Source organism: Homo sapiens, chromosome 3 (assembly GCF_000001405.40).
Source record: "Homo sapiens chromosome 3, GRCh38.p14 Primary Assembly".
In the NCBI taxonomy this organism is placed as follows: Eukaryota; Metazoa; Chordata; class Mammalia; order Primates; family Hominidae; genus Homo; species Homo sapiens.
The window spans coordinates 185,135,916-185,161,482 of NC_000003.12; the positions used below are offsets into that span (position 1 = coordinate 185,135,916).

Consider the following 25,567-nt stretch of genomic DNA (forward strand, 5'->3'; position numbering starts at 1 on the left):
AAACAAGAAAAAAATAAAATATAAAATGGCAGACATAATCTATAACTCATCAATAATCACATAAAACATAAATGGTCTAAAAACATTAATTAAAAGAGATTGACAGAATGGCTTGCAATTCAGGACAAAAATATGTTGTGTACAAGAAACTTCCTACAAATTTAACAGTATAGTGAGGTTGAAAATAAAAGGAAGGAAAAGATACATCATGGGAACATTAACCAAAAGAAAGCAGTTATGGCTATATTAATATCAACTAAAGTCAACTTCACAGAAAAGAAAATTACCAGATACAGAGAGGGACATCAGATAATGAAAAAAAGGGTCAGTGTAACAAGATATCAGCAATCCCAAATGTGTATGCATCAGACAAAAGAACTACAAATATCTGGCCAGGCATGGTGGCTCACGCCTGTAATCTCAGCACTTTGAGAGGCCAAGGCAGGTGGATCACCTGAGGTCAGGAGTTGGAGACCAGCCTGGCCAAAATGGAGAAACCCTGTCTCTACTAAAAACACAAAAATTAGGCCAGGCGCGGTGGCTCACGCCTCAATCCCAGCACTTTGGTAGGCCAAGGCGGGTGGATCACAAGGTCAGGAGATCGAGACCATCCTGGCTAACACAGTGAAACCCTCTCTACTAAAAATAAAAAAATTAGCTGGGCCCACAGTGGTGGCGGGCACCTGCAGTCCCAGCTACTCGGGAGGCTGAGGCAGGAGAATGGCGTGAACCCGGGAGGCGGAGCTTGCAGTGAGCCGAGATCGCGCCACAGCACTCCAGCCTGGGCGACAGAGCGAAGACTCTGTCTCAAAAACAAAACAAAACAAAACAAAAAAACCCACAAAAATTAGCCGGGTATGGTGGTGCACGCCTGTAATCCTGGCTACTCAGGAACGAGGCAGGAGAATCGCCTGAACCCAGGAGGTGGAGGTCGCAGTGAGCCGAGATTGCGCCACTGCACTCCAGCCTGGGTGACAGAGCAAGACTGTCTCAAAACAACAACAACAACAACAACAACAACAACAACAACAACAAACTACAAATATCTGTGGGTAAACTAACAGACTTGAAAAGACGAACCCACAATTTACGTAAACCCCTCTGATATGGTTTGGTTGTGTCCCCACCTAAATCTCATCTTGAATTCCCACGTTTTGTAGGAGGGACCTGGTGGAAGGTAACTGAATGTCTTTCCCGTGCTGTTCTCGTGGTAGTGAATAAGTCTCACAACATCTGATGGTTATAAAAAGGGGAGTTTCCCTGCACAAGCGCTCCTCTCGTTGTCCACCGCCATCCACGTAAGATGTGACTTGTGGCTCCTTGCCTTCTGCCATGATTGTGAGGCTTCCCAGCCACATGGAACTGTACATCCCATTAAACCTCTTTCTTTTGTAAATTGCCCAGTCTCAGGTGTGTCTTTATCAGCTGCGTGAAAACGAACTAATACACCCTCTTTCAACAATTGACAGAACATATAGACAGAAAATAAGCAAGGATATAGAAGAACTCAACAACAAAATCAATAAACAGGATCTAAAAGACATTTATAGAGCACTTCATCCAACAACAGCAGCATACCCATTCTTTCCAGGTGTCCATGACACTTGACCCATATCCTGGGCCATAAAACAAACCTCAACAATTTCAAAAGAATTAAAATCATACAAAGTAGAATCAAGCGAGAAACCAGTTAATAAAAAGTTAGAAAAATCTCCAAACACTTGGGATAATCTATGGTCAGAAAGGAAGTTTCGAGGGAAATCAAAAGTTACATGGAACTGAAAGAAAATTAAAATAAAACACATAAAAATTTATGATACACAGCTAAAGCAGTGCTGAAAGGAATTTTTACAGTAACAAATGCATATATTAGAAAGAATAAAAGCCTCAAATCAGTAATCTAAGCTCCCACCATCAAGAAGCTAGAAAAAGCACAAAATAAACCCAAAGTGAGCAGAAAGAAGAGCGTAATAAAGATGAGAGCAGAAATCAAAGACACATTAAACAGAAAAACTGACAGAAAGAAAATCAATGAAACAAAGAGCTGCCTCTTTTAAAAGGTCAATGAAGCTAACAAACCTCTAACAAGACAGACAAAGAATAAAGACAAACAGCACAAATTACCAGTATCAGGAATGAAGCAGAGGATGTCATACATACCATGGAGACAACAAAAGTATAGTAAGGAACTACTATTAACAACTCTACAAGCATAAATTTGACAACTCAGAATGAAATAAACCAATTCCTGAAAAAATGCCAATGATCTACATTCATTCCTTGATAATAATTTGAATAGCCCTATAATAACAAGAAAATTGAATTAGTAATTTTTAAACTCAAAAACAACAACAACAAGAAAAAGAAACCTCCAGGCCCAGATGGTTTTACTAGAGCATTCTACCAAATGTTTAAAGAAAATTTAATACCAGTTCTGCACATTTTCATCGAGAAAATAGAAGGGGAAAAACTTTCTAATTCATTGTATGAAGTTACAATTACCAGACACCAAAACCAGACAGACAGTAATAATAAAAAAAAAAACTATAAGCAACACCTGTCATAAAGACATAAAAATATTTAACAAACTATTAGCCAATAGAAATCAACAATATACTAAAATAATTACACCTTAATCAAGTGGGGCTTATTCCATGGATGCAAGGCTGGTTCAATACTTGAAAATAAATCAATATAATCTACCACATGAACAGGTTAATGAGGAAAAATTACATGATCCTATTAATTGATTTTAAAAAAGCATCTGACAAAACTTAATACCCATTCAAGATTTTTTTTAAAACCTCTCAGAAAATAGGAATAGAGGAGGAACTTCCTCAACTTGATAAAGAACATCTACAAAAAATCTACTGCTAACATTATACTTAAAGGTGAAAGATTTGGCTGGGCGCAGTGGCTCACACCTGTAATCCCAACACTCTGAGAGGCCAAGGTGGGAGGACTGCTTGAGCCCAGAAGTTTGAGACCAGCCTGGGCAAAATAGTGAGACCATGTGTCTACAAAAAAAGTTTTTTAATTAGCTGGACATGGTGGCATACACCTGTAGTTCCAGCTACTTGAGTGGCTGAGGCAGGAGGATCATTTGAGCCCAGGAGGTAGAGGCTGCAGTGACCTATGATCACACCACTGCACTCTAGCCTGGGCGACAGTGAGACCCTGTCTCAAAAAAGGAGAGGGAGAGGGAGCAGGAGGGGGAGCGGGAGGAGGAAGGAGGAGGAGGAAGGAGGAGCAGAAAGGAGGAGAAGGGGAGAGGGGGGAGGAGGAGAAGAGGAAGAAGGGGCAAGAAAGAAGACAATGACGACGAGAGAAAAAGTGGGAAAAAATCAGTCTACCCAGCCAGGCTTGGTGGCTCACGCCTGTAATCCCAGCACTTTGGGAGGCCAAGGTGGGCAGATCACCAGAGGTCAGGAGTTCGAGACCAGCCTGGCCAACATGGTGAAACCCCATCTCTACTAAAAATACGAAAATGAGCCAGGTGTGGTGGTGCACGCCTGTAATCCCAGCTACTCAGGAGGCTGAGACAGGAGAATTGCTTGAACCCAGGAGGCAGAGGTTGCAGTCAGCCGAGATCATACCACTGCACTCCAGCCTGGGTGACGGAGCAAGACTGTCTCAAAAAAAAAAAAAAAATTCAGTCTACCCAACTAAAGACTTCTTATACAGCTATAGTAGGCAAGATTGTATGGTACTGGCAGAAGAAGAGACATGAAGACCAGAGGGACAAAATAGAAAACCCAGAAATAGACCCACACAATATGATTTTTGACAAGGGTACAACAGCAACTCAATGGTGGAATGATAATCTTTCAACAAATGGTGCTGGAGCAACTGGACATCCATAGGCAAAGAAGTGAATTGTGATCTAAGCCACACCTTATAAAAAATTACTCATAATGGATCATGGAATTAAATACGAAACTTAAAACTATAAAAATTTTAGAAAAAAAATAAAAATATTTGAAATCTCAAGCTTGGCAAAGAGTTCTTAAAAGCATCAAAAAGCACAATCCATAAAAGGAAAAACTGATAAACTGGACTCCATCAAAATTTAAAATTTTGTATCTCAAAAGACTCTGTTAACTCACCAAATTATACACAGTCATCCCTCAATATACACATTGGATTGGTCCAGAGCCCCCACCTGAACATACTCAAGTCCCACAGTTGGCCCTCGGTATTCATGGGTTTCACACCCTGGGAATACTATATTTCCAATCCACATTTGGTTGTAAAACCCAGTCATACGTGGACTCATGCAGTTCAAACCCATGTTGTTCAAGGGTCAACTATAAACTAATCATGCAGTTTTTTGGCATATAAATAAAGGTGGGGGAAGCCTCTGCTAAGAGGATGAAAAGATAAACTACAGAGAAAATATCTGCAAACCACTAGACAAAAGTCTAGTATCTACAATAAAGAACTCTCAAAACTCAGTTTAAAAAATCCAATTAGAAAAGGAGAAAAGACATGGATAGACATTTCACTAAAGAGGATATATAAATGGCAAATAAGCACGTGAACATTAGCCATTAGGTGAATGCAAATTAAAACCAAAATCAGTCATCAATACACACCTGTTGTGGGCTGCATGTTTGTCCCCCAAAATTCATACGTTGAAATCCTAATCCTTAATGTGAGGGTCTTAGGAAGTGGGGCCTTTGGGAAGTAATAATAGGTCTTGAGGGTAGAGCCCTCATGAATGGGATTAGGGCCCTTATAAAAAAGACGCCAGGGCCAGGCGGTGGCTCACGCCTGGAATCCCAGCACTTTGGGAAGCCCAGGCGGATGGATCACTTGAGTCCAGGAGTTTGAGACCAGCCTGGCCATCATGGTGAAACCCCGTCTCTACTAAAAAAAAAAAAAAAAAAGAAAAATACAAAAATTAGCCAGGCATGGTGACCTACACCTGTAATCCCAGCTACTTGGGAGGCTGAGGCAGGAGAATCGCTTGAACCCAGGAGGCAGAGGCTGCAGTGACCCGAGATCGTGCCACTGCACTCCAGCCTGGGCAACAGAGTGAGACCCTTGTCACCAAAAAAAAAAAAGAAAAAAAAAGAAAAAGACCCCAGAAAGTGCTCTATCCCTCTTTCCACCAAGCGAGGATATGATGAGAAATCAGCAATCTAAAACCCAGAAGACAACCCTTCCCAGAACCCAAAGATGCTGGCACCCTTATCTCAGTCTTCCAGCTTCTAGAACTGCAAGAAACAAACTTCTATTGTTTATAAGCCACCCAGTCTCTGGTACTTTGTTATAGCAGCCTGAACTCACTAAGACAAAAGCTATCAGAATGCCTAAAATAAAGACAGTGACAACACCAAATGCTGGTGAGCATGTGGTAAAGAGGCTAGGCCAGTCATACATTGCTAGTGGGAATGTAAAATGGAATAGACCCTCTGGAAAACAGTTTGGCAGTTTCTTAAAAAAAAAAACGAAACATGTAACTACCATACAGCCTAGCACTTGCACTCTTGAACATTTATACCAGAGAAATGAAGACTATGTTCAAGTAGAAAACTGTATAAAAATGTTTACAGCAGATTTATTTATAATAACTAAAAACTGAAAATAGATGTCCTTCAATAGGTGAAAAGTTAAACTGTGGTACATGTATACCATGGAATACTACTCAGCAATAAAAAGGAACAAACTACTGATATATCCAACAAACTGGATGGATCTCCAGAGAGTTATGCTGAATGAAAAAAGCCAATCACAAAAGGTTATGTACTCTATGTTTCCACTAACATTCTGGGAATAAAATTATAGAAATGAAGAATAGGTTAGTGAGTATTATGATATATCAGAAACCAGGGTTTTACTGACAAGGGAGGTACAAGTATGCAGTGGGGAAATGCAAAGGAAACACACACACACACACACACACACACACACACACATTTCCTAAATTTGTCCACTGAAAAGTCCTAAATGCAATAATCTCTTAATAAAAATAAGCAGACTCAAAACCCAGATAATGGTTTCCATACCATTTCTCATGAAAAGGAACTCGGTTTCCTTAGAAAAATGATTTCTGATCTGGGGCAGGGAAATCATTAGGTAAGCCTGGGACATCTTGTGCCAGAAAACTGGGAAATGCTCAAATAAATGTTGAGATATATGAAAAAGACATAGAAGCCAGCTTGCAGGCATTCTCACTGGCCAAATTTAAAGACAATCTGAACATCAAAAATAATTATAATACTTGATTATAACACACTGAAAAAAAAAGAATCAATTTGGCTGGGCACAGTGGCTCATGCCTGTAATCCCTGCACTTTGGGAGGCCAAGGCAGGCATCGCTTGAGCTCACACGTTTGAGATCAGCCTGGACAACACAGTGAAACCCCCCTCTCTACAAAAATAAAAAAATGAGCCAGGCATGGTGGCATGCTTCTGTGGCCCCAGCCACTTGGAGGCTGAGGTGGAAGGACTGCTTGACCCTAGGAAGGTTGCACTGCACTCCAGCCTGGGTGACACAGCGAAACCCTGCTCAAAAACAAAGAATCAATTTGTCTACAGTAACATGAGGAAGATGGGGTACAGTTAGAGAACCTCTTCATTATAAAAGATGTCATCAAATGGTAGAAGGAATGACAAAATTTGAACATCGCTGTTTTGCAACCACCAGCGTAGTAAGTGATGCACGCAAGGATCTTCAGCCAATACTAAAATCACTGGGTTAAAGTTTGTTAGGGAACAGACTATTCACTCAGCATCAAAGTATCACCCCACAGATCACTCATTAAAAACCAAAGGGAAAAAAAGCAAAAGGCATCTTTATAATGGAAAGATGTGGCAGTTACCACCTTAGCCTTGGCAGAACAAGACACATGATGTGTTTTCTCATGTGATGCTGTGAGAAGGGCACAATATCACTCATGTAATAATGTGACAAAAATGTTTAATCTAAATCTAATCACGATGAAACAATTAGGCAAATTCAGAATATAGGACATTCTCCAAACAGTTAACTTGGACTCTTCAAAAAATTCAAGTCATCAAAAAAAAAGTGTGATTGCTTTAGAGTGATTAAAAGTGGCTAAAGTTACCTAACAATAAAATGCGATATATGAATCTTGATTGACCCCTGGATTTTTTATAAAGTCATTTTCTTTACCATTAAGAAAACTATGGTAGACTGAATTACTGTTAATTATCTTAGGTGTGAGTACAGTATTGTGGTTACATAGAAAAATGTCCTCATTCTTGAGACAGGCATACTGATATATTTCTCTTTTTTTGGCATACCGATATATTTTGGTATGAAGTGTCATGATGTCTGCAACTTTCTTCTAAATGTATTGGGGGGAAAGGCGAGACAAGAGGAAGAGAGTGTGTAGTCAGAAAAAGGGAAAGATAAAGCAAATGAGTCCAACAGATAAAATTTTCCATGAAATACCAAATTGTTATATTCTTAGTGCTTTTATTTCACTAAACATCCATTAAAATGAGATAGAGATATACAGAAGTACATCTGTATTACACCAAAACACCCAGTTTTAAATGGACAAACAAGCACTAGAGAGGTTAAAGAATTTGTCCTACTTGGGAAGGCATTGTACAGATACAGCTGGGGGGGTGTTTGTATTATACATTGTTGGCACTCCAGATATTACACATTTTTGGCAGTATGCTTACAAAATACTCTTAAAATATCAGAAAATTGAAGTATAAGAGAAAAGCAAAGGAAAAATCCTGTGAATTTGAGTAAAATAACTTGGAAGGGCTGCAATTAAGTTTACTGGCCCAGCATTCTAGCAACCAGGACTCCTCTATTAACTAGCATTCTTGCCATTTTTCAGTACACACTGATGAGACTTCTAAAGCACCAAAGTTGAATATGTTCAGTTTCACTTTAACATAGGATGAGCTCTATAATACTTGAATCCTTTGAAACTTGTTAACCCATGTGTGATATATATGATAGCTCTCTATTATTTGGTATATTTGATTAACCAGAGCTGTCCATTGCTTAACAATGGAGGAAAACAGGATGAAGCTGGGGAGTAAGAATTGGAGCAAAATGTAAGATTCTATGGTAAACACACACACACACACACACACACACACACTCAACACATAGGAACTATTACAAAATAGAACTTTCCACAATGAGAATAATAAAAAAAATCCAAGTGTAATATTCAAAACATGTATTTTTATTCTTTGTTGTTTTTCAGTGTTTAATTGAACAAATCAGTACGGTCACAGGGTAGATTCCAGATTAACCAGGACATTTGAGGAAGGGGGAAAACAATTGCCGACTTTGACAATCACAACACCAAGAAGCTGGTACTATTATCCCCATATTAACAACATGAAAACTGAAAGACGGGTTAAGTAACTTCCCCAAACCATGTAACTATTAAGTAGGGAGAGCTCATTCAAACACGAAGTCTGACTCCAGTGCCTGCCATCAGGACATCTACATTACCTAGTATTTCCACTGCTTTTTGCTTTTTTTGGAGGAGGGGCTGATCCTTCCCTTTACTGAATACTTGCACTAAGTACTTTGCTTGCAATATATTGTTTATTTATTTATTTATTTTTGAGACAGAGTCTCAATCTGCCACCCAGGCTGGAGTGCAGTGGCACAATCTCGACTCACTGCAACCTCCACCTCCCAGGTTCAAGCAATTCTTGTGCCTCAGCCTCCCAAGTAGCTGGGATTACAGGCATGTACCACCATGCCCAGCTAATTTTTGTATTTTCAGTAGAGACTGGGTTTTGCCATGTTGGCCAGGCTGGTCTTGAACTCCTGACCTCAGGTGATCCGCCTGCCTTGGCTCTCAAAGTGCTGGGATTACAGGCATGAGCCACCACGCCCAGCCACAATATGTCATTTAATCTTCACAACAACTCTGTGAGGTAGGATTTCTTTAAGAGATGGGGGTCTTGCAATGTTGCTCCTGGGCCAAAGTGGTCCTGAGTAACTGGGACTATAGGCACCCACCATGGCGCTTGGATGAAACAGAATTGTTATTCCTAGTTTTCAGAAGAGTACAGTGAAGCAACAGGAGGTTTAGTAATCTACCCAAAGTCACCCTGCAAACAATAAGACTCACAGTTCAAACACAGGTGCTCTTTGCTGGACTATACTCTGCCTTCCACATTCTATGTGTATACGATTCCCTATTTTTTAAGAAAACAAATCTTCTACTAGACAACTTCTGGTTGCCGAAGGCCTGTGTTCCTATACTGATTTGGAATTAATAACACAATTTCCCTAGAAACATTCTTTCCTGTAATTAATGAGATCTATAACATGAAAGAACAAATTCGGATGAAGTGAGGATTTTGTAATGTGGGAAATTATAGAAAGGCCCTCAAAAGCCATGTGGTTTAAATCTCTAAGTTCAACAGGCTTGGAAGCCAGTAATAATTAATGGTGTGTATACAATTCTAAAAACGGCTTGTGCCAGTCAGAGATTAGCTGAGGATAAGACATGACTGAAGCTTCGTATCATACAAATAATAAAAACTGCCTAGTCTTTTTTGCCTCTTATTTTAATTTTATTTCATTCAAATACATTATTGTTTTTGAAAGCATGGTTTTATAGAGTTCACAACCATTCCAAAAATATTCATACTGCATATAATTGCCCTTCTCTTAAACTCAGAAAGCATTCTCAACATGCTATTTCCAAAAGGAATTTAAAACAGCTGAAATCATCCTCACTATACCTTCAGTGGAACCAAGAAACCGACAGCCCTGGTTGCCAGCTGGTTTGTAAGATTTTGATATACATTTGCCACAGGCAGCTAGGGGTACTACGCGTGACCTTGGGCAAATTTCCTAATCTTAAAAATGAAGATAGTAACAGTACCTACTTCACAAGATTGTTGTGACGTTTAAATGAGCAAACACATACGAAAAGATTACAAAAAGTTATGTGCCTGCACATAGCCATGATGTGTGTTATTTGTTATTGTTGAAGTTTACGTGCATCCATCATTGAAGCACCAGCTACACAGAAAGACACCTATCAGCGTTCTCTATCTCTGGAAGAACCTATCAGCATTCTCTATCTCTGGAAGAACCTATCAGCTTTCTCTATCTCTGGAAGAACCTATCAGCTTTCTCTATCTCTGGAAGAACCTATCAGCTTTCTCTGTCTCTCGAAGAACCTATCAGCTTTCTCTGTCTCTGGAAGAACCTATCAGCTTTCTCTATCTCTGGAAGAACCTATCAGCTTTCTCTATCTCTGGAAGAACCTATCAGCGTTCTCTATCTCTGGAAGAGCTTTGAGGAAACTCACTCAGAACTTCACCTCACAGCTCTCCTCTTAAAATCTGTATCCTCTTCCTTCAATCACTAGACAAAGTTACAACTCTCATTTTTTTTTTTTTTTTTTTTTTTTTTTTGAGAGGGAGTTTCGCTCTTGTTGCCCAGGCTGGAGTGCAATGGCGCGATCTTGGCTCGCTGCAACCTCTGCCTCCCGAGTTCAAGCGATTCTCCTGCCTCAGCCTCCCGAGGAGCTGGGATTACAGGAATGTGCCACCACACCCAGCTAGTTTTTGTATTTTTAGTAGAGACGGGGTTTCTCCATGTTGGCCAGGCTGGTCTCGAACTCCTGACCTCAGGTGATCCACCCGCCTCAGCCTCCCAAAGTGCTGGGATTACAGGCGTGAGCCACCATGCCCGGCAGAACCCTCATTCTTAGAAAAAAACTTTAGTTGACTTTTCCAACCAAACTACCACTCCTTATTTTTGTTGTTGTTGCTAGTTTTCATTTATCAAACTTCTTAAACACGTTTTTTGTAGCTATTGTTATTGATATGAATCAGAAGTCCTTTAGGAAAACCAGGTGGCATTTTCCCGTGGAAGTCAGAACCTGATTTTGTGAGTTTTCCTAGAGTTGTATAGAAGCACAAAAACAGAATAGAACAACACAAAATCACAATGCTAATTTACTAACGAAAAGAAGTATATTTGCCCCAAAGTCCTGACAGTTGAACCCTCTAATCAACTCCTTCTCTCCCTACAGAAAATCTATAAACAGGAAGCCAAATGTGTAACCAAACATTTGCTGCGATAGCGCAGCCATAAGGACCAGAGATATTAAACTCTCTAGACAGCATAACATCTTCTCTGAACAGTCTTGAAAAGCACTCCCAAATTCTGGTTCTCCAACTCCCATTTGTCTCTATTTCTATGCTGCCCATCTACCTTTTGCTGTGACAGTCTTTCTTTAGATATGCTAATACCACCTATTAGACTACATCAAGTCCCACTCTTCCTGCTTTCAACCTGAAACAGAATCTTTTAAGATTTCTTCTACAGAAAACTGAGCTTATGTGATATTCTTAAGCCAACTCTGAGTTTGGCTGGTAGCACCTACATCATACCACATCCACCCACTCAGCCCCACCTGTCACCTTCTAATTACTTTCTCTTCCTTAACCCTTAACTTGAATGTCACTTCCTATCACATACAGTGACCTCTTTACAGTTCTCATTCTTCCGGATTTAACTACTGCAATTGATACAACTTGCCACCCATTTCTTAAAAACTTTCCCCATCATTGGCTTTAATGGAACTGAGCTCTGTTGGTTCTGCTCACTAATTTTAAATTGCTCTACAGTGCAATGATGGTTAAGAGTCCGGGTGTAGAATCGAACAGAGCTAGATCCGAATCCAGGCTCTACTCCTTACTATGTGCCCGTGGAAAAGCTCTAAGCCTTCTTCCTCAACTGTGAAATGGACATAATTACATAATTGGCTATTAAGTGCTCAGCATAATAAGCTTATTCTGGTACAAAGTAATCACTCAGTAAATATTAACAATTGTCTGTGTCCTAATTCTTAGCTCCTAACGCTCTGTTCTCTTTTGCCTTCAAGAGCCTCCAACAGCTTTGACTAATGCTTCAATTAAGTATATTCCTGAAGTCACTGTTGCAAGACTAAACCTTTCACCCTCTTCTCCATAATAATGAAAATCACTCTTTGTGTATTTTACCAATATCTAATAATTAGCCTGCTGAAAACTGGTTTCATCTTCATACTCTTTCTTGAAACACTAATTTCCCCTGGCTTCTGCAATACCATATTTTCCAGATTTTTCTTCTCTAGCCATCTCTTCTTAGACTCCTCTGCCAGCTTATCCTCTTGTACCCAGACTCTGATGTCCTAAAAGAAAACACTCTGGTGTTGTAAAGGGAAAGCTTAATGGTTTTCTTTACTTCTCACGCTACAGTCTCTCCCTTGGTGCTCACGCTTCATCACAGCTACAACTGCAACCTATAAGTAAGTAAATTACTTACATATTATTTCTAGCCCAGACCTCTCCTCTGAGTTCTACATCCCTGTATCTAATTGCCTACCGACATCACCATGTGAGGACAAAGGCAGCTTAAATCCTACAGATCCAAAACTAGATTCATGACCTTCCTCCCAATCCTAGTTACTCAGTATTTCGTTGTTAGTGAATGGCACCACCATCCACAGCTGCATAAAGCAGAATTCTAGAAGTTAACCTTAATAATCTTCCCCTCCCTTCCCGACCAAATTTAATTAACCCTATAGATTTCACCTCAAATATCTCTCAAATACACTCTTATCTCCACCTCCACCAATCTAATTTCTTATTCTAAGTATTCTAAGTAGCCACAAAATTCTACTTTACAATACCTACATATGATTTCTTTCCCATCCCTCCTCTCTCGCGAAGCCATGTATTTCTTTCTCTCTCAAAACGCCTCTTGAAAACCTTCACTCGTTAATTCAAGCCAATATCACTCCTTACTGGGAAAAATTAAGTTACACATTCAGATTCATGGTTTATTCAGCTTAATAATCTATTTTTGACAGTGATACCAACAGAACATATGATGCTTTCCTCCCAGGCAACATCCTCAAAAATGCGCCATTACCCAAATACACATTTCCTTTAATAATGCACCAAGCACTGAATCTGTGAATGTATATGTGCTTTATGTCTTTTATGGACATGTACATATTTTTAAGCTTTTTCTATTTTATAAGTCTATATATTTCACAAGATTAAAATCAACCACATAAAACTGAACTTCCTTGTTTTGAATCTACCTTTTTCAAGCATCAGGATAATCCTCTCATTTTAGTATTCTCAGATTTGGCAAACAAACTGATAGTTTTCTCACTTCTATCATTTGTGATTTTAAAAGAATTACAAAAGTAAATACAGTATGGGCTGGGCATGGTGGCTCATGCCTGTAATCCCAGCAATTTGGGAAGCCAAGGCAAGCGGATCACCTGAGGTCAGGAGTTCGAGACCAGCCTGGTCAACATGGTGAAATCCCGTCTCTACTAAAAATATAAAATTAGCCAGGCGTGGTGGTGCATGCCTGTAATTCCAGCTACTTGGGAGGCTGAGGCAGGAGAATCACTTGAACCCGGGAGGTGGAGGTTGCAGTGAGCAGACATCGCGCCACTACACTCCAGCCCGGGCAACAAGAGTGAAACTCTGTCTCCCAAAAAAAAAAAAAAAAAACAGTAAATACAGTATGATTGTGTCCTTAGACTCTGCATATAGGGTCCATAATGGTCCATATGGGGTCCAGTGTGGTCCAGCTGTATTCATATTTTTATTCTGAGTTTCCAAAATAATGTCTCATAAAGAGAAGGTGTTCAATATATGTTCAACAGAATTAAAGGAATTCTGCTTAGGACTGATACTGTAAACTCCATGAATACCAAAAAGAAAGGAGAACTTCTCAAACATGTTAACTCTGCTTATTTTGGGCTAAAAAGCATAGAGAGAATTAATTCCCAGGATAACTGAGGAGATTGTAACAGAGCACCTAGCTGCTTTAAATGAAGTCAAGCTTTTAGTGAATGGGATCACTGAGCTGCTGCCAGTGGAGGAAGTGTGGAGAACCGGAGGACTGCCAAAGACTGGAAAAGAACAAATAACTGTAGTCCTGATTTTTTAAAAAACAGAAACAACTGCCAACGACAGTCCAGTATACTTGACGTCAATCCTTTTCTAAATTCAGATTATTTATTTTAAAACAGTTTCTAACCATTTAGAAAAGAAAATGGTAACCATTTGTGGAATCAACCTGAGTTTTACCAGATTAACCTAATTTCTTGTTTTTTTTTAAAAAAAGAGTGTATGTACAGATAGGTCACAGATCAAAAAGAGGCAGTAAAAACAGTGTGTTGGTAGGATTTCAATAAGGTATTTGACCAGGTTTTCATTACACCCATATACAAGATAAATATAAGATGGATAACAGTGCAACTAGGTGGCTAGGTAATTGTTTGAACAATCATAACTAACAAGTGCTCATTAATGAATTGCTATCAACCTGAAGGGCAGTTCTACCCGCAAGCTTCAGGACTCTATCTGTGGCTTTCTCTTGTTCAACAATTTTATCAGTAACTTTTATGAACATGTACTGTACTACTGTTGGTATCCAGTATGTGGATGACATGAACCTAGGACAAACAGCTTATAAATATATTAAGAAAGAGCCAGGATCTAAAAACACACACACACAAAATTAGGCTCATTCTAATGAAATGAAATTTAATAGGAAAAGATATCTAAGGGATCAGTACCTGTGTCCAAAAATATAAGTGTGAGATGGGCAAACAGTGGCTTGTCACATATGTTAAAAAAAAACAAAACAGCTCAATGGCTTTGATGGCAAGCTTAGTTCAATCTGACAGCAGCAAGCTCAGTATGTGATGAAGATATCAGAAAAGCTAATGTGATGCTAGCTGCAGCAATAGCAGTATCTCGAACATGGGAGGTAGTGGTCTTGTTCAACTCTAGACTGATCAGACCACAACTGGAATATTGTCTACCTTTCTAGGGGCCACAGTCTTCAAAGGATCAAAACCACCTTGGCACATGTTCAGAAGAGAACAACCAAGATGCTTAGGAGCCTGAATACTATTCCATAAAAGGAAAGGCAGAAGGGACTGGAAATGTATAAATAGGACAAAGAAATGCCTTAAGAGAAAGATGATCACTAGCTTCATTCAGTCATTCAATGAACATTATTGTTAAACCTATTTCAGGAAAGACATTGTGAGAATGGCCAGGGATACAGAGAGAAGACAGTCCATATGTGCAAGACATTCATATGTATATTCAGCAATGTATATATGAAGAGTTGAAACAGCCATGATCTAAAAAAGGATTCAATTGTTCTATATGATTTCATAAGGCAGAAATAGGAGCAGAAGAAAGAAGTTAGAAAGTAACTGATTTCAGCTCCATATAAGGAAGAGTATTTTAAGAGTCAAGGCTAATGAAGGGAGAAGCTGTCTGAGAAAACTGCAAGGTTCCCATCAGTAACGGTGTACTTAGAGAAGACACTGTCAAAATAAGACAGACAGTAACCTGGACTATCTTGAACATTCCTCACATTTTACACAACGATTCTATACTTTCCCACGAAATGAATGAAAGTCCAGATTCTACTTGTGCACTTCAGCATCCCAGGTTTCCTAGAGTTGCTACTTCCAACTCGGTACCCTGTCCCACCGTGAAGCAATGCTTTATACTAACAAAAGAGAACAGATCTGAGCACAACAGGAATAATGAGAAATAGGAAGAAACTGGCCCATAAGCAAATGGAACACCAGAAATCAATACTGTTCTATGTGCCTGGAATTTGTAAAGAAAATGATCCTCTATCCTTGAATTCATAAATTCGATTTAAAATATTCATTTATGTTCGATTAATGTAAATAAGGATTTGTTATGTACTGCATTCCTGGTTGTCAGCTATTTTTTTCTCAACAAAGAAAAATTCATTTTAACTTAAGATCACTTGGAAAATGTCCTAAATAAGCACTCCAAAACCCTCTATTACAAATATATGTGGAAACTAACTTTAGAATATATTTCTTAAAATGAATGATTCATCGGATATAGTCCAAATACTATTAGCTAATCAAATTGTGAAATTCTAATTAAATGGCTACTTAAGTTTAATCTATTTAAAAATCACAGGCAGGAGGCTAAACACAGAGAAAGGGTTTAGACCATTTGGTTCTAGCTTTTATAAATTGGTTTAAGACTATTAAGCTTACTTTCACTCATTTTATTTTGTAATTTTATAAGTCTCATTTATTTGGCTCTAAATTCTACATCTGGGTATTTAAGGAGCTCGACCTTCCAAACTGTTAATATTAACTTCTTGGAAGCAATCCCTCCCACATTAGCGCTTTTTCTCAATTTGGGTACAATCAAGGGGGAAACAATTGGATATCCAAGGGCTCCTTCTTTTAAATAGCAGCCCAGGAAGACAAAAGTGAGAAAGAAAAAGAGGAGCATCTTTAACCAGCAACCTTGAAAAAAGGCATCCCCAACAGCTGTCGCCAACTCAGCTGGCTCGCTCCCATTTCTCAAAACACCGCCTGGACGCCTTGGTCAAAAAAAGAAAAAGAAAAGAAAAAAAACCAGATTCCCGCTTCCCTGGGACAGGGAGCTCCCTTTTGTAGAAGTAGCTAAAGAAAGCGAGGCGCCCCACGGGATTTCATCTCGTCGTCAAGGCAGCGCCAACCCCAGCCGTCCGGCGCAAGGAAAGCTCCGGCGGGCCCGGAGCCCACGGCGGCCCCAGCCTCCGGCAGAGCAGCCCCGGCAGAGCCCGGAGCCCCGCGGCCGCAGAGTTCCGGCAGCGACCCCGGACGGCCCGGCGGGCGTCCCCCGGACCGCGGCGGAAGGCGGGAAGACGCGGCTCGACTTACAGTGACACCATCCTAGGTGACAGCACCAGTGCAGCTTGAAGCACTTGCCATGGCTGTGCGTGGCACAGATAGACAGCCCGTCGCACGGCTGGAAGTCGGGTCTGCGGGCGGCGCAACTCCGCGCCAGGGCCTGAGCCTCATCTAGTTTCTCGCTCTTCCAACCCCGCTCCGACGCCGGCGAGGCCGCCGCACTCATTTCCTCTCCCTCCGCGCGGAGCCGACACCGGGAGCCCGGGAGAAGCGACGTCTGGGTGGGCAGGAAGCCGAGCCGGCTGCGGACGCGGGAGGGCGCGGCACGGGCCGGGAGTCACGCCAGCACGCGGCGGCGGCGGGAGCGCGGCGGTCCCAGGCTCGAGGAGGAGCCGCCCCGGGCGCTGCGACCGGGTCCGGGCTGGCAGCCTCCCTCCCTCCGGCGCGGCGCGCGCCGCGCCCCACGCGCACACGCACGCGCACAGGCGCGCGCCGGTCGGCCCCGCGCGACGTTCCTCAGCGAGCCCGGCCTTCTCACACACACGCCGCTGGGGAGCTTGGCCGTCGGCGTCCCCGCCGGTCACAGCGAGGTCCTCCTCACATACTCACTCCTTCCTCGGAGAAAGACCCCGACGGAGGGCCGTGGTGAACACACACTCCTCGGCCGCTTTGTACTCACATGCACGCCAGCCTACATATGCACTTCCCCCCGAGTGACACTGGCCACCGAGAACTGACACACGCGTCCACACGCTCCACGGAGGGCTGCGCACACCTGGCCCACGCCCACCCGAACCTCCTAGTGGCCCGGGCCGGGTGCATCGCGTAGCGAGGATCTCACACACACAGCCTGTCCCCACAGGCGTCTCACATCTCCCTCGTACACACCTCCCCGTGTCTGGGCATGGAGCCCCTGGGAGGCGCGCACACGCTCGTGCACACGCGCGCACTCCCCCCACCCAGGGCGGGCCTCCTGCCCCAGCGCGGCCACAGGGCGCGTCAGGGGCCAGCACCGCCAACCCCTGCCCGCCTCGCCCCAAACCCCAGGCCAGTGCGCCCGGGCCTTCCCGCGCCCGCCCCAACCTTCGCCGGGACCGCAGCCCCTCCCCCTTCTCCTCCCACCCCCGCCTCCGTTGAGCGGGAAAGCAACAAAGCTGGGTGCATTGATGTGTGTGTGTGTCTGCGTATGTGTAGTTTGGTGTGCATGGGATGTGTGTGTTGCGTGCGTGTGTATGATTATTTGGAGTATGTATGGTGGGTATGCGTGTGTGGTTGTGTGTGGTTAGGTGTGTTCATGGTACATGGTGGGTGGTATGCGTGATGCAAGTGACTGGTGAGGTGTGTGTATACGTGTGTATGTGAAATGAATGTTATAACTGAGGTGGAGTGTGGGTGGTGTGTGTGTGGTTGAGTGTGTGTGGCGTGCAGAATATGTATATGTGTGTAGTTGGACGTGCATGTGCTTGTGCACGTGTTGTGGGGGTGGGTATGCTTAGTAATACAGAGTGGTGTGTGTATGGTATATGTGTGGCAGTGCAGTGCGTGTATCTGGCATGTCGAGTGTGCACATGGCATATACGGATCAAATCGGGTGTGTGTGGTACATAGGAGTGGGTGGGCACACAAACAGGACTCATGTATGCGGAGGACTCTGCCTTTCTGTGTTAGCGCCTGCTCTGGCCAGCAGGTGTGACTGACCCTGTGGTGGCTGCGGCTTCCCCACACAGTTGGCTCGCACTCTTCCCTCCTGGGGACAAGTTGCTCCAAATAGATTTTCCATGCCAGGCTCTGCTGCTGAGAACCGACCCCAGGCTGGATTCACTGAAGAGGAAACAAACCATTTGCTCCCATGGTGCACTGCTGGGAATTAGTGTTTCCCTGCAACAAGGCCAGAACCCAGCCTTGAACACAGAAGAGGAGGGGACACCCCCTCCTTATTTGCCAAACGCACAGAAGAATGCTTGTTCAAGGAACAAGGCTTTCAGCACAAACACTGTGTGGGAACATGTTTATGCCCAGGTCCACTTTCTCCTTTATGCCTTTCCTGCTTTGCACTGACAAGAGACTCATCATGGTTTTGAAACAACCAAATTCATCCTCAAGCTTGAAAATCCTTGCTGCCATAAGCAATCTTTCATAATTTTCCCTTTTATGTAACCTTGGCTTGAGAAGGGAAATGTAATTTGCATATATCTGACTCTGGTGAAATCTTCATTTATTAGGGATTGGGGAGAGACTCAATTTGGCAGCAAAAGTATTTTCCAGAAAGGTCTGAATCAAAATCACAAACTCTAGTTCCCCCATTAACCTAACATTGAAACAGTTGCAAACATGAAGAATCATCTCATCAGCTTCCACCCCAACTGCTCCCCGCCTCAAAAAAATCCTAAAGGAATACATCTCTGACACAAAATCTATGCACCCCTGCTGTTAACTTCACAGTCTGACCTACCTCAGAATAACGGAAGTAAAAGGCAGAGAAATCTTAATCAAAGAAATCCATACTCCATTATTACTGCAGCAAGCCAACCAACAATTTTTCAAAGGGGACTTTCCATCTGTTCTACCCTATTTTTCTCTTTCTCCAACCTATAACTCACTCTAATACTGCCCCTATCATAGAAGGCCTTATGACGGCATCCTCTCTGTATTTCAGTAACTAATACTTGTATGGGATCCTTCCCCTGACTTTTACCCCAGGGTGAACCATGTGGTAAGATTCCACAATATATGAAATAAACCATCTCAGCTAGTAAAAAATGAGCATGAGAAAGCATGCAATATAGCACTTTAGCTAGGAGGCAAGATGAATTATCCAAACACCTTATTTTAGGTTAGACACGTGATTTGAAGTTGAGAAGCCTTTACATTTTCTGTACCATGAAACTCATTCCATCACCTTGCCCTAAAGACGTTATTGATTTCTACTGTCTGGTGTGGAGCGGGAGGAGGTAATTGCTGTGACCTCTCAAATATATACACACAGCTTTCAGGATGTGTTGTTGGGATACGATTTTTAAATTTTTTATTATGAAACTTTCCAAAATATACAAACATAGAGAGATGAAGATAACCCCCCATGTACCCATGTACCCATCACCCAGTTTCAACGATTATGAACTCATTTAGAAAACCTTGTTTCATCTACAGCGCCACCCACTCCAGGCCCCCAACCTGTCCACTGGATCATTTTTAAGCCAATCTCAAACATCAAATCGTTTCATCCATTAATATTTTGGTGTATATCTCTAAAGGAAATTTTAAAATCTCTAACCATAATTATTGCATAATAGCATACAATTTGATCATAAATATGAACTTGTCCTGTAGCTGCTGACCACCTCTCCAGCTCCCCTTTAAGAATGCTACTCCCTGCCAGGCACAGTGGCTCATGCCTGTAATCCCAACACTTTGGGAGGCCAAGGCGGATGGATCACCTGAGGTCAGGAGTTCGAGACCAGCCTGGACAACATGGTGAAACCCCATCTCTACTAAAAATACAAAAATTAGCTGGGCATGGTGGTGCGCACCTGTAATCCTGGCTACTCAGGAGGCTGAGGCAGGAGAATCACTTAAACCCGGGAGGTGGAGGTTGCAGTGAGTCGAGATCGCACTGCTACACTCCACCCTGGGCCACAGAGTGAGACTCCATCTCAAAAAAAAAGGAATGCTACTCCCTGCCAGGCACAGTGGTTCATGCCTGTAATCCCAACACTTTGGGAGACCAAGGCGGGCAGATCGCCTGAGGTCAGGATTTCAAGACCAGCCAATATGGCGAAAACCCATCTCTACTAAAAATACAAAAATTACCCGGGTGTGGTAGCGCGCACCTGTAATCCCAGCTACTCAGGAGGCTGAAGCAGGAGAACCACTTGAACCCGGGAGGCAGAGGTTGCAGTGAGCTGAGATTGCACCACTGCACTGCCTGGATGACAGAGTAAAGCTCCGTCTCAAAAAAATAATAATAAAATAAAATAAAATAAAAAAGAATACTACTCCCTCTGCCTGGAATTTTCCTCTGTCCCTGACTCTTAATCCCCCATCTACCTCTTCAGATTAAGTGCCATTTTCTCTGACTAGTCCAGACTGAGCTATACACGCTGTCCATTCAGGTCACTTATCCCAATTGTAAACAAAAATTAAAGAAGGAATTCTTCAATTAATATCTTTCCCTGTGTCCCTTCCCCGACACAAACTGTACGCTCTTTGAGGACAGGAACATTTCCATCTTGTTTTCAATATTTAGGGCAGAGAATAAATAATTGTTGAAATAGTGAAAATAATTTCATCTCCGGTTCTAAAGGGCTGGAAAAGATTCATCTTTGGTAAATTGTTTGCAAGTATGTATAAATAATTCATATAATTACTGTTCTTATAACTGTACCCTTGGATAGTCACCTCCCACACTGACTCTGAGCTTAGCTGTGTGTATTAGTTATCTATTGCTCTGTAACAAATCACTCCCAAATTAAAAGAACACACAGTTTCTGTGAGTCAGGAACCCAGATGTAACTGCAGTAGGTCCTTGGCTTCTAAGTCTCTCACAAAGCTGCAGTGAAAATATGGGCCAAGGCTGCTTTCCCATCTAAAGGTTCAACCAGGGAAGAGTCTGCTTCCAAGCTCACTCACTCACTGTATGTTAGCAAGATTCAGTTCCGTAGGAACTGTTGTTTTTCACCGGTTGTTAGGATCTCCATGGACCTCTCCATAGGACAGTTCAGACGTGGCAGCTTGCTTTATCAGAACAAGTATGTCTTTAAGAAGAGTCAGAGAGAGCACCACAATCCTTTATAACCTATTCTCAGGAGTGATATTCCATCAATTTTGTCATATTCTACTCATTAGAAGCAAGTTGCTAGGTCCAGCTCCATGCAAGGGGAGAAGATTATATGACGGCAGGAATGCCAGAAGGCAAGAATCACTGAGAGCCATTTCAGAAGCTGCCTGCTACACCATGTGACTTGCTTTAGCCAATGAAAGAGTAGCGAGAATGGTAAAGATTTGCAAACAGCATTCTTATTGGGATTTGCCCTTTCCTTCTGTGTTGGAACCCTGAGACCACCATGTGTACAAGTCTGAGCAAGGCTGCTAAAGGATAAAATGCTTTGTGAAGGAGAATGAGGTGCTCCAGTTGGCGAGCAGCTGATCCCCAGCCAATGGTCTGTCAACCACTAGAACTATGAATGGGGCTATGGCAGATCATGTAGACCCACCAGCTGGTCACAGAAGCATGAGAGTCCAACAGAGATCTGCTGAGCCAGTCCAGACCAGGACAACCACCATGATCAACCACAGAATCATAAGCTCCATAAAATGGCCGTTATTTTAGGCTGCTAGGTTCTGGGTGGTTTCTTACACAGCAAAAGTTAACTGATACATCCACCAATCCTTTCATGTTGTAGACAAAATAATTGAGGATTCAAGAGGCTAAGTGACTCCATGTCATGGTGCAGCAGGCATGGTAGGAAAACAGCATCAAAACAATGCAAATAGTTCAAGTCTAAGCTCCGGCATTTTCTGGCTGGGAGACCTTGGCAAATCCCTTATGCTTTCTAGGCTTCAGTTTCTCTATCAACAAAAAAGAGCCCAGAACTTTCTCTAGAACATCTTTTAGTGTTCAAAGTTAAGACTTGTCCACTTGGCTATAGAGCTGGGATTAGAATTATTTTGGTTCAGCTGTCATTTGTGAATAGTCAAATACTCCCCCACTATTCTGTTGCATATATTGGTCTAACACTAATATGAGTTATATATGTGCACACCAACCATTTGGAACAGTTTGATAAATCGAGTCATTACAATTCAGTTACTTTTTGGTTGCTTGATTGAACTAAGCAACTAATTCCACCATGGTTATAAATAACCTGCTAGTAATTGGTCAATTTGTCATATTAAAGCAATTAGAATGATGAAGTGGATGGAGAAGCTTCCAAATGAGGTGAAACTAAATTAAGAGTCTTCTGTTGGGAGGGAGGATGCCTCTTCAGTGTTGCTGACGGCAGAATTCAGACCCTCATCATCCCCTCAAATGGAAAGAAAAGAGCAGCAGCTTTGGAATCAGACAGAGTGGAATCAAAGCTTAGGTCGACAACCTCCTAGTTGGGTGATTTGGGGCAAGTTATTTAGCCTCATCTCTTAAATGAGAATTGTAATTCCTACCTCATACACTTGCTGTGAACATTAAATACAATAACTTATTTGAAGGGCCAAACCCTGTGTCTAGCACATTGCAGATGCTCAATAAATATGAGTCCATCTCTTCCCAGCACCTTCAAATGCCTCCATGTCCACAGACTCTCCTTGCTCCAATCCTTCCTTCATGAGGCTGAGAAGAGATCTCCCTAAAACATAAATCTGATCACATTATGCCTGGGCTTAAAATCCTTTGATGCGTCTCGTTGCCTACTTGAAAAAATGAAGGTCCTTTGTAGGATATAAAAAGCCCTCCCAACTTCCCCACCTCTTCTTCCCTACGCCTCCGTATCTGGAAACTCCCTGGATTATTGTCTTGTTTCTGGATATGTAATATCCTCTCCTGCCTGCCTCAGTGCCTTCTCTCATCCTATTCTTTTTGCCTTGAATTGCCCGGCCACCCACTTTTACACGTGTGGAATCCTGCCTTTCCTGCAAGTTCTGGCTCAAATGCTTCTTGAAGCCTTTTCTTAATTCACTTTCTCCTCCATACTTCAGGACTCTGCACCTACTACTTCGTGCCTCAAGTAGTGAGGCAGGGGTGCACAGACGATACTCAACAAATAGTTTTGAATGGATGCATTGAAAGATTTATGACTGAAAATTCACAAATAGGATGGAATTTGTTTTTCAAATTCCTGTCTTGCAAACCTTAGACCCTAAGCATGAGGAGATTCCTTTGAAGTCTTTGAAATTAAGAAGAAGCCTAACTTAAACAACTGGCTTGTAATCTTACTGAATATCTTACCTCTATAGGTGACCCAGGCTGAAATAACCACAAATTCAAAGTGGTATTTTATTTATTTATTTATTTATTTATTTATTTATTTAATTTTTTGAGACAGAGTCTCGCTCTGTTGCCCAGGCTGGAGTGCAGTGGCACAATCTTGGCTCACTGCAACCTCTGTCTCCTGGGTTCAAACGATTCTCCTGCCTCAGCCTCCTGAGTAGCTGGGATTACAGGTGCCCGCCACCATGTCTGTCTAATTTTTGTATTTTTAGTAGAGACGGGGTTTCTCTGTTTTGGCCAGGCTGGTCTCAAACTCTTAACCTCGTGCTCCACCACCTTGGCCTCCCAAAGTGCTGGGATTACAGGCATGAGCCACCACACCTGGCCAAAGCGGCATTTTATACATTGCATGAATGACAGACCCATAGTGGAGAAATATTCATGGTTTCCCCTCTAACCTTTTGATATTGCATCACGAAGGCCAGCTTTCCCACAAAACATATCATTGTGCCACCATCAAAGGCAAAATAGAAAGCCACCCAACGCTAAGCCAGTCCAAAATTGCATTTCTTATATTTTTTAAGTGGTGGATTGTGGATCACCTTAATATGAATTTTTAAAATTTGCCATTATCTCCCTCAGCTGCTCTTTGAAAGGAACACAGCAGTTTTGTATCAATTTGTTTTATCAACTGGAGAAGTATTTTTATCTATGAAAATGTTTAGTGGAAAAATGAACCTCCAGAGTAGGTTTTGAACATAGAAGGGGAAGGCAAAAAGGCCAGTCTTTAACCTCCCAACGATCTGGCCCCTGGTGGGCCTTGGTAAACGCTCTCAGTGTTCGTGCTCATCGGGACCAATAAGCAGAGAGCTTCTCTTAAGTGATGTGATGTGACAGTAGTAGGTGTAGGATCAGGTCGATTTTGTGCTCCACACAACACAACCCAGTTTTTTACTCTTCAACAGTCCGCACCTACTTCGGGAAGCAATGGATCTCTCGTCATTTTGAAACAAGAACACTCTTGCTCCTTTTAATGGTAGGATAACATACACATTCTACCATTTTCATTTTTTAAAAAATATTTTCTCTTGATGATTAGCAATTAAAATAGTTCAGGTTTATCTCATTTCAGGAAGCAGCTAGAGGCTGAAATGACAGTGGAGAACAATCTGGAATACAATGACTGACTCATGGATTATAAATGAGGCAGCTGAGGTTCCATGTGCAAACTGTGAAGATGCGTGGCTGCGGTCAGCCCTCCAAGCACACCCAGGGCCCCGTGCGCTCAGAGAGCATCTTGCTCACAATGCTGGGCTCATTCATCCACTCCACAAATAGCTAGTGAGTGTTTTCTATGTGCCAGGCCCTAGGCTGGATGCTAGAGAAAATTTCGAGGGAAGACATAAACCAACCATAGGAATATAAAAGGTAACTGCTTTGATTAAGGGGTTTAAACAAAGCACTATAGGAGAATGAGGGAGAAACATGTCTGCCTGGAGCCATTTAAAAACATTTCCTAGGAAGGATGCGTCGGCACTGGTGACGCAGACAAGCTGGGGTGGGGTATAATGAAAGAAAGGCAAGAAAGGCAAAGGCTGCTGTGTGGATCTGTCTTGCCTGAAAGTCATGTGGGAGCAGTCAAACAAGAGGCGGAACTGGTAGGCAGGGGCCAGATCACGAAAAGCCTGGTAGAGTTTAGACCGAGTCCTCTAAACCCATAGTTTTTGTATATCTTTCAGCTGGGCGCACTTTGTTCAATTAAAAAACTCATCAGAAATCATAAATGAAACATCTGTAAAGTCCAGCTGCTCCAGCTGAGGCTGTTGCGTGTTGCTGGGGTAAGGCTGGAACCCCGTTTGTTTGTAATCCCCACAACACCAGAGCAAAACCACTGGGCAACCTCTAAGATGGCTCCCGCTACTTCCTTGTGTTAATTCGCTCCCCTGGAGTATGGACTGGACTT

The 25,567-nt window shown here is 42.3% G+C and overlaps 1 protein-coding gene across 1 annotated transcript in view, besides 2 other annotated features; it reads right to left on the reverse strand.

Moving 5' to 3' along the window:
- The window catches only part of C3orf70 (chromosome 3 open reading frame 70), a 76,223-nt gene extending 59,078 nt beyond the window's left edge, over positions 1 to 17,145 (reverse strand). The window contains exon 1 of the mRNA NM_001025266.3: positions 16,713 to 17,145. Coding sequence (NP_001020437.1) covers positions 16,713 to 16,908 — 196 coding nt within the window. The 5' untranslated portion in view covers positions 16,909 to 17,145. The remainder of the gene's footprint in view (positions 1 to 16,712) is intronic.
- Positions 16,551 to 16,770: a silencer, noted in NCBI's record as "silent region_14972". NCBI's record gives its function as "represses an Ori minimal core promoter by ATAC-STARR-seq in GM12878 lymphoblastoid cells {active_cell/tissue: GM12878}" and the evidence as "EXISTENCE:reporter gene assay evidence [ECO:0000049][PMID:35858748]".
- Positions 17,191 to 17,330: an enhancer, noted in NCBI's record as "active region_20917". NCBI's record gives its function as "activates an Ori minimal core promoter by ATAC-STARR-seq in GM12878 lymphoblastoid cells {active_cell/tissue: GM12878}" and the evidence as "EXISTENCE:reporter gene assay evidence [ECO:0000049][PMID:35858748]".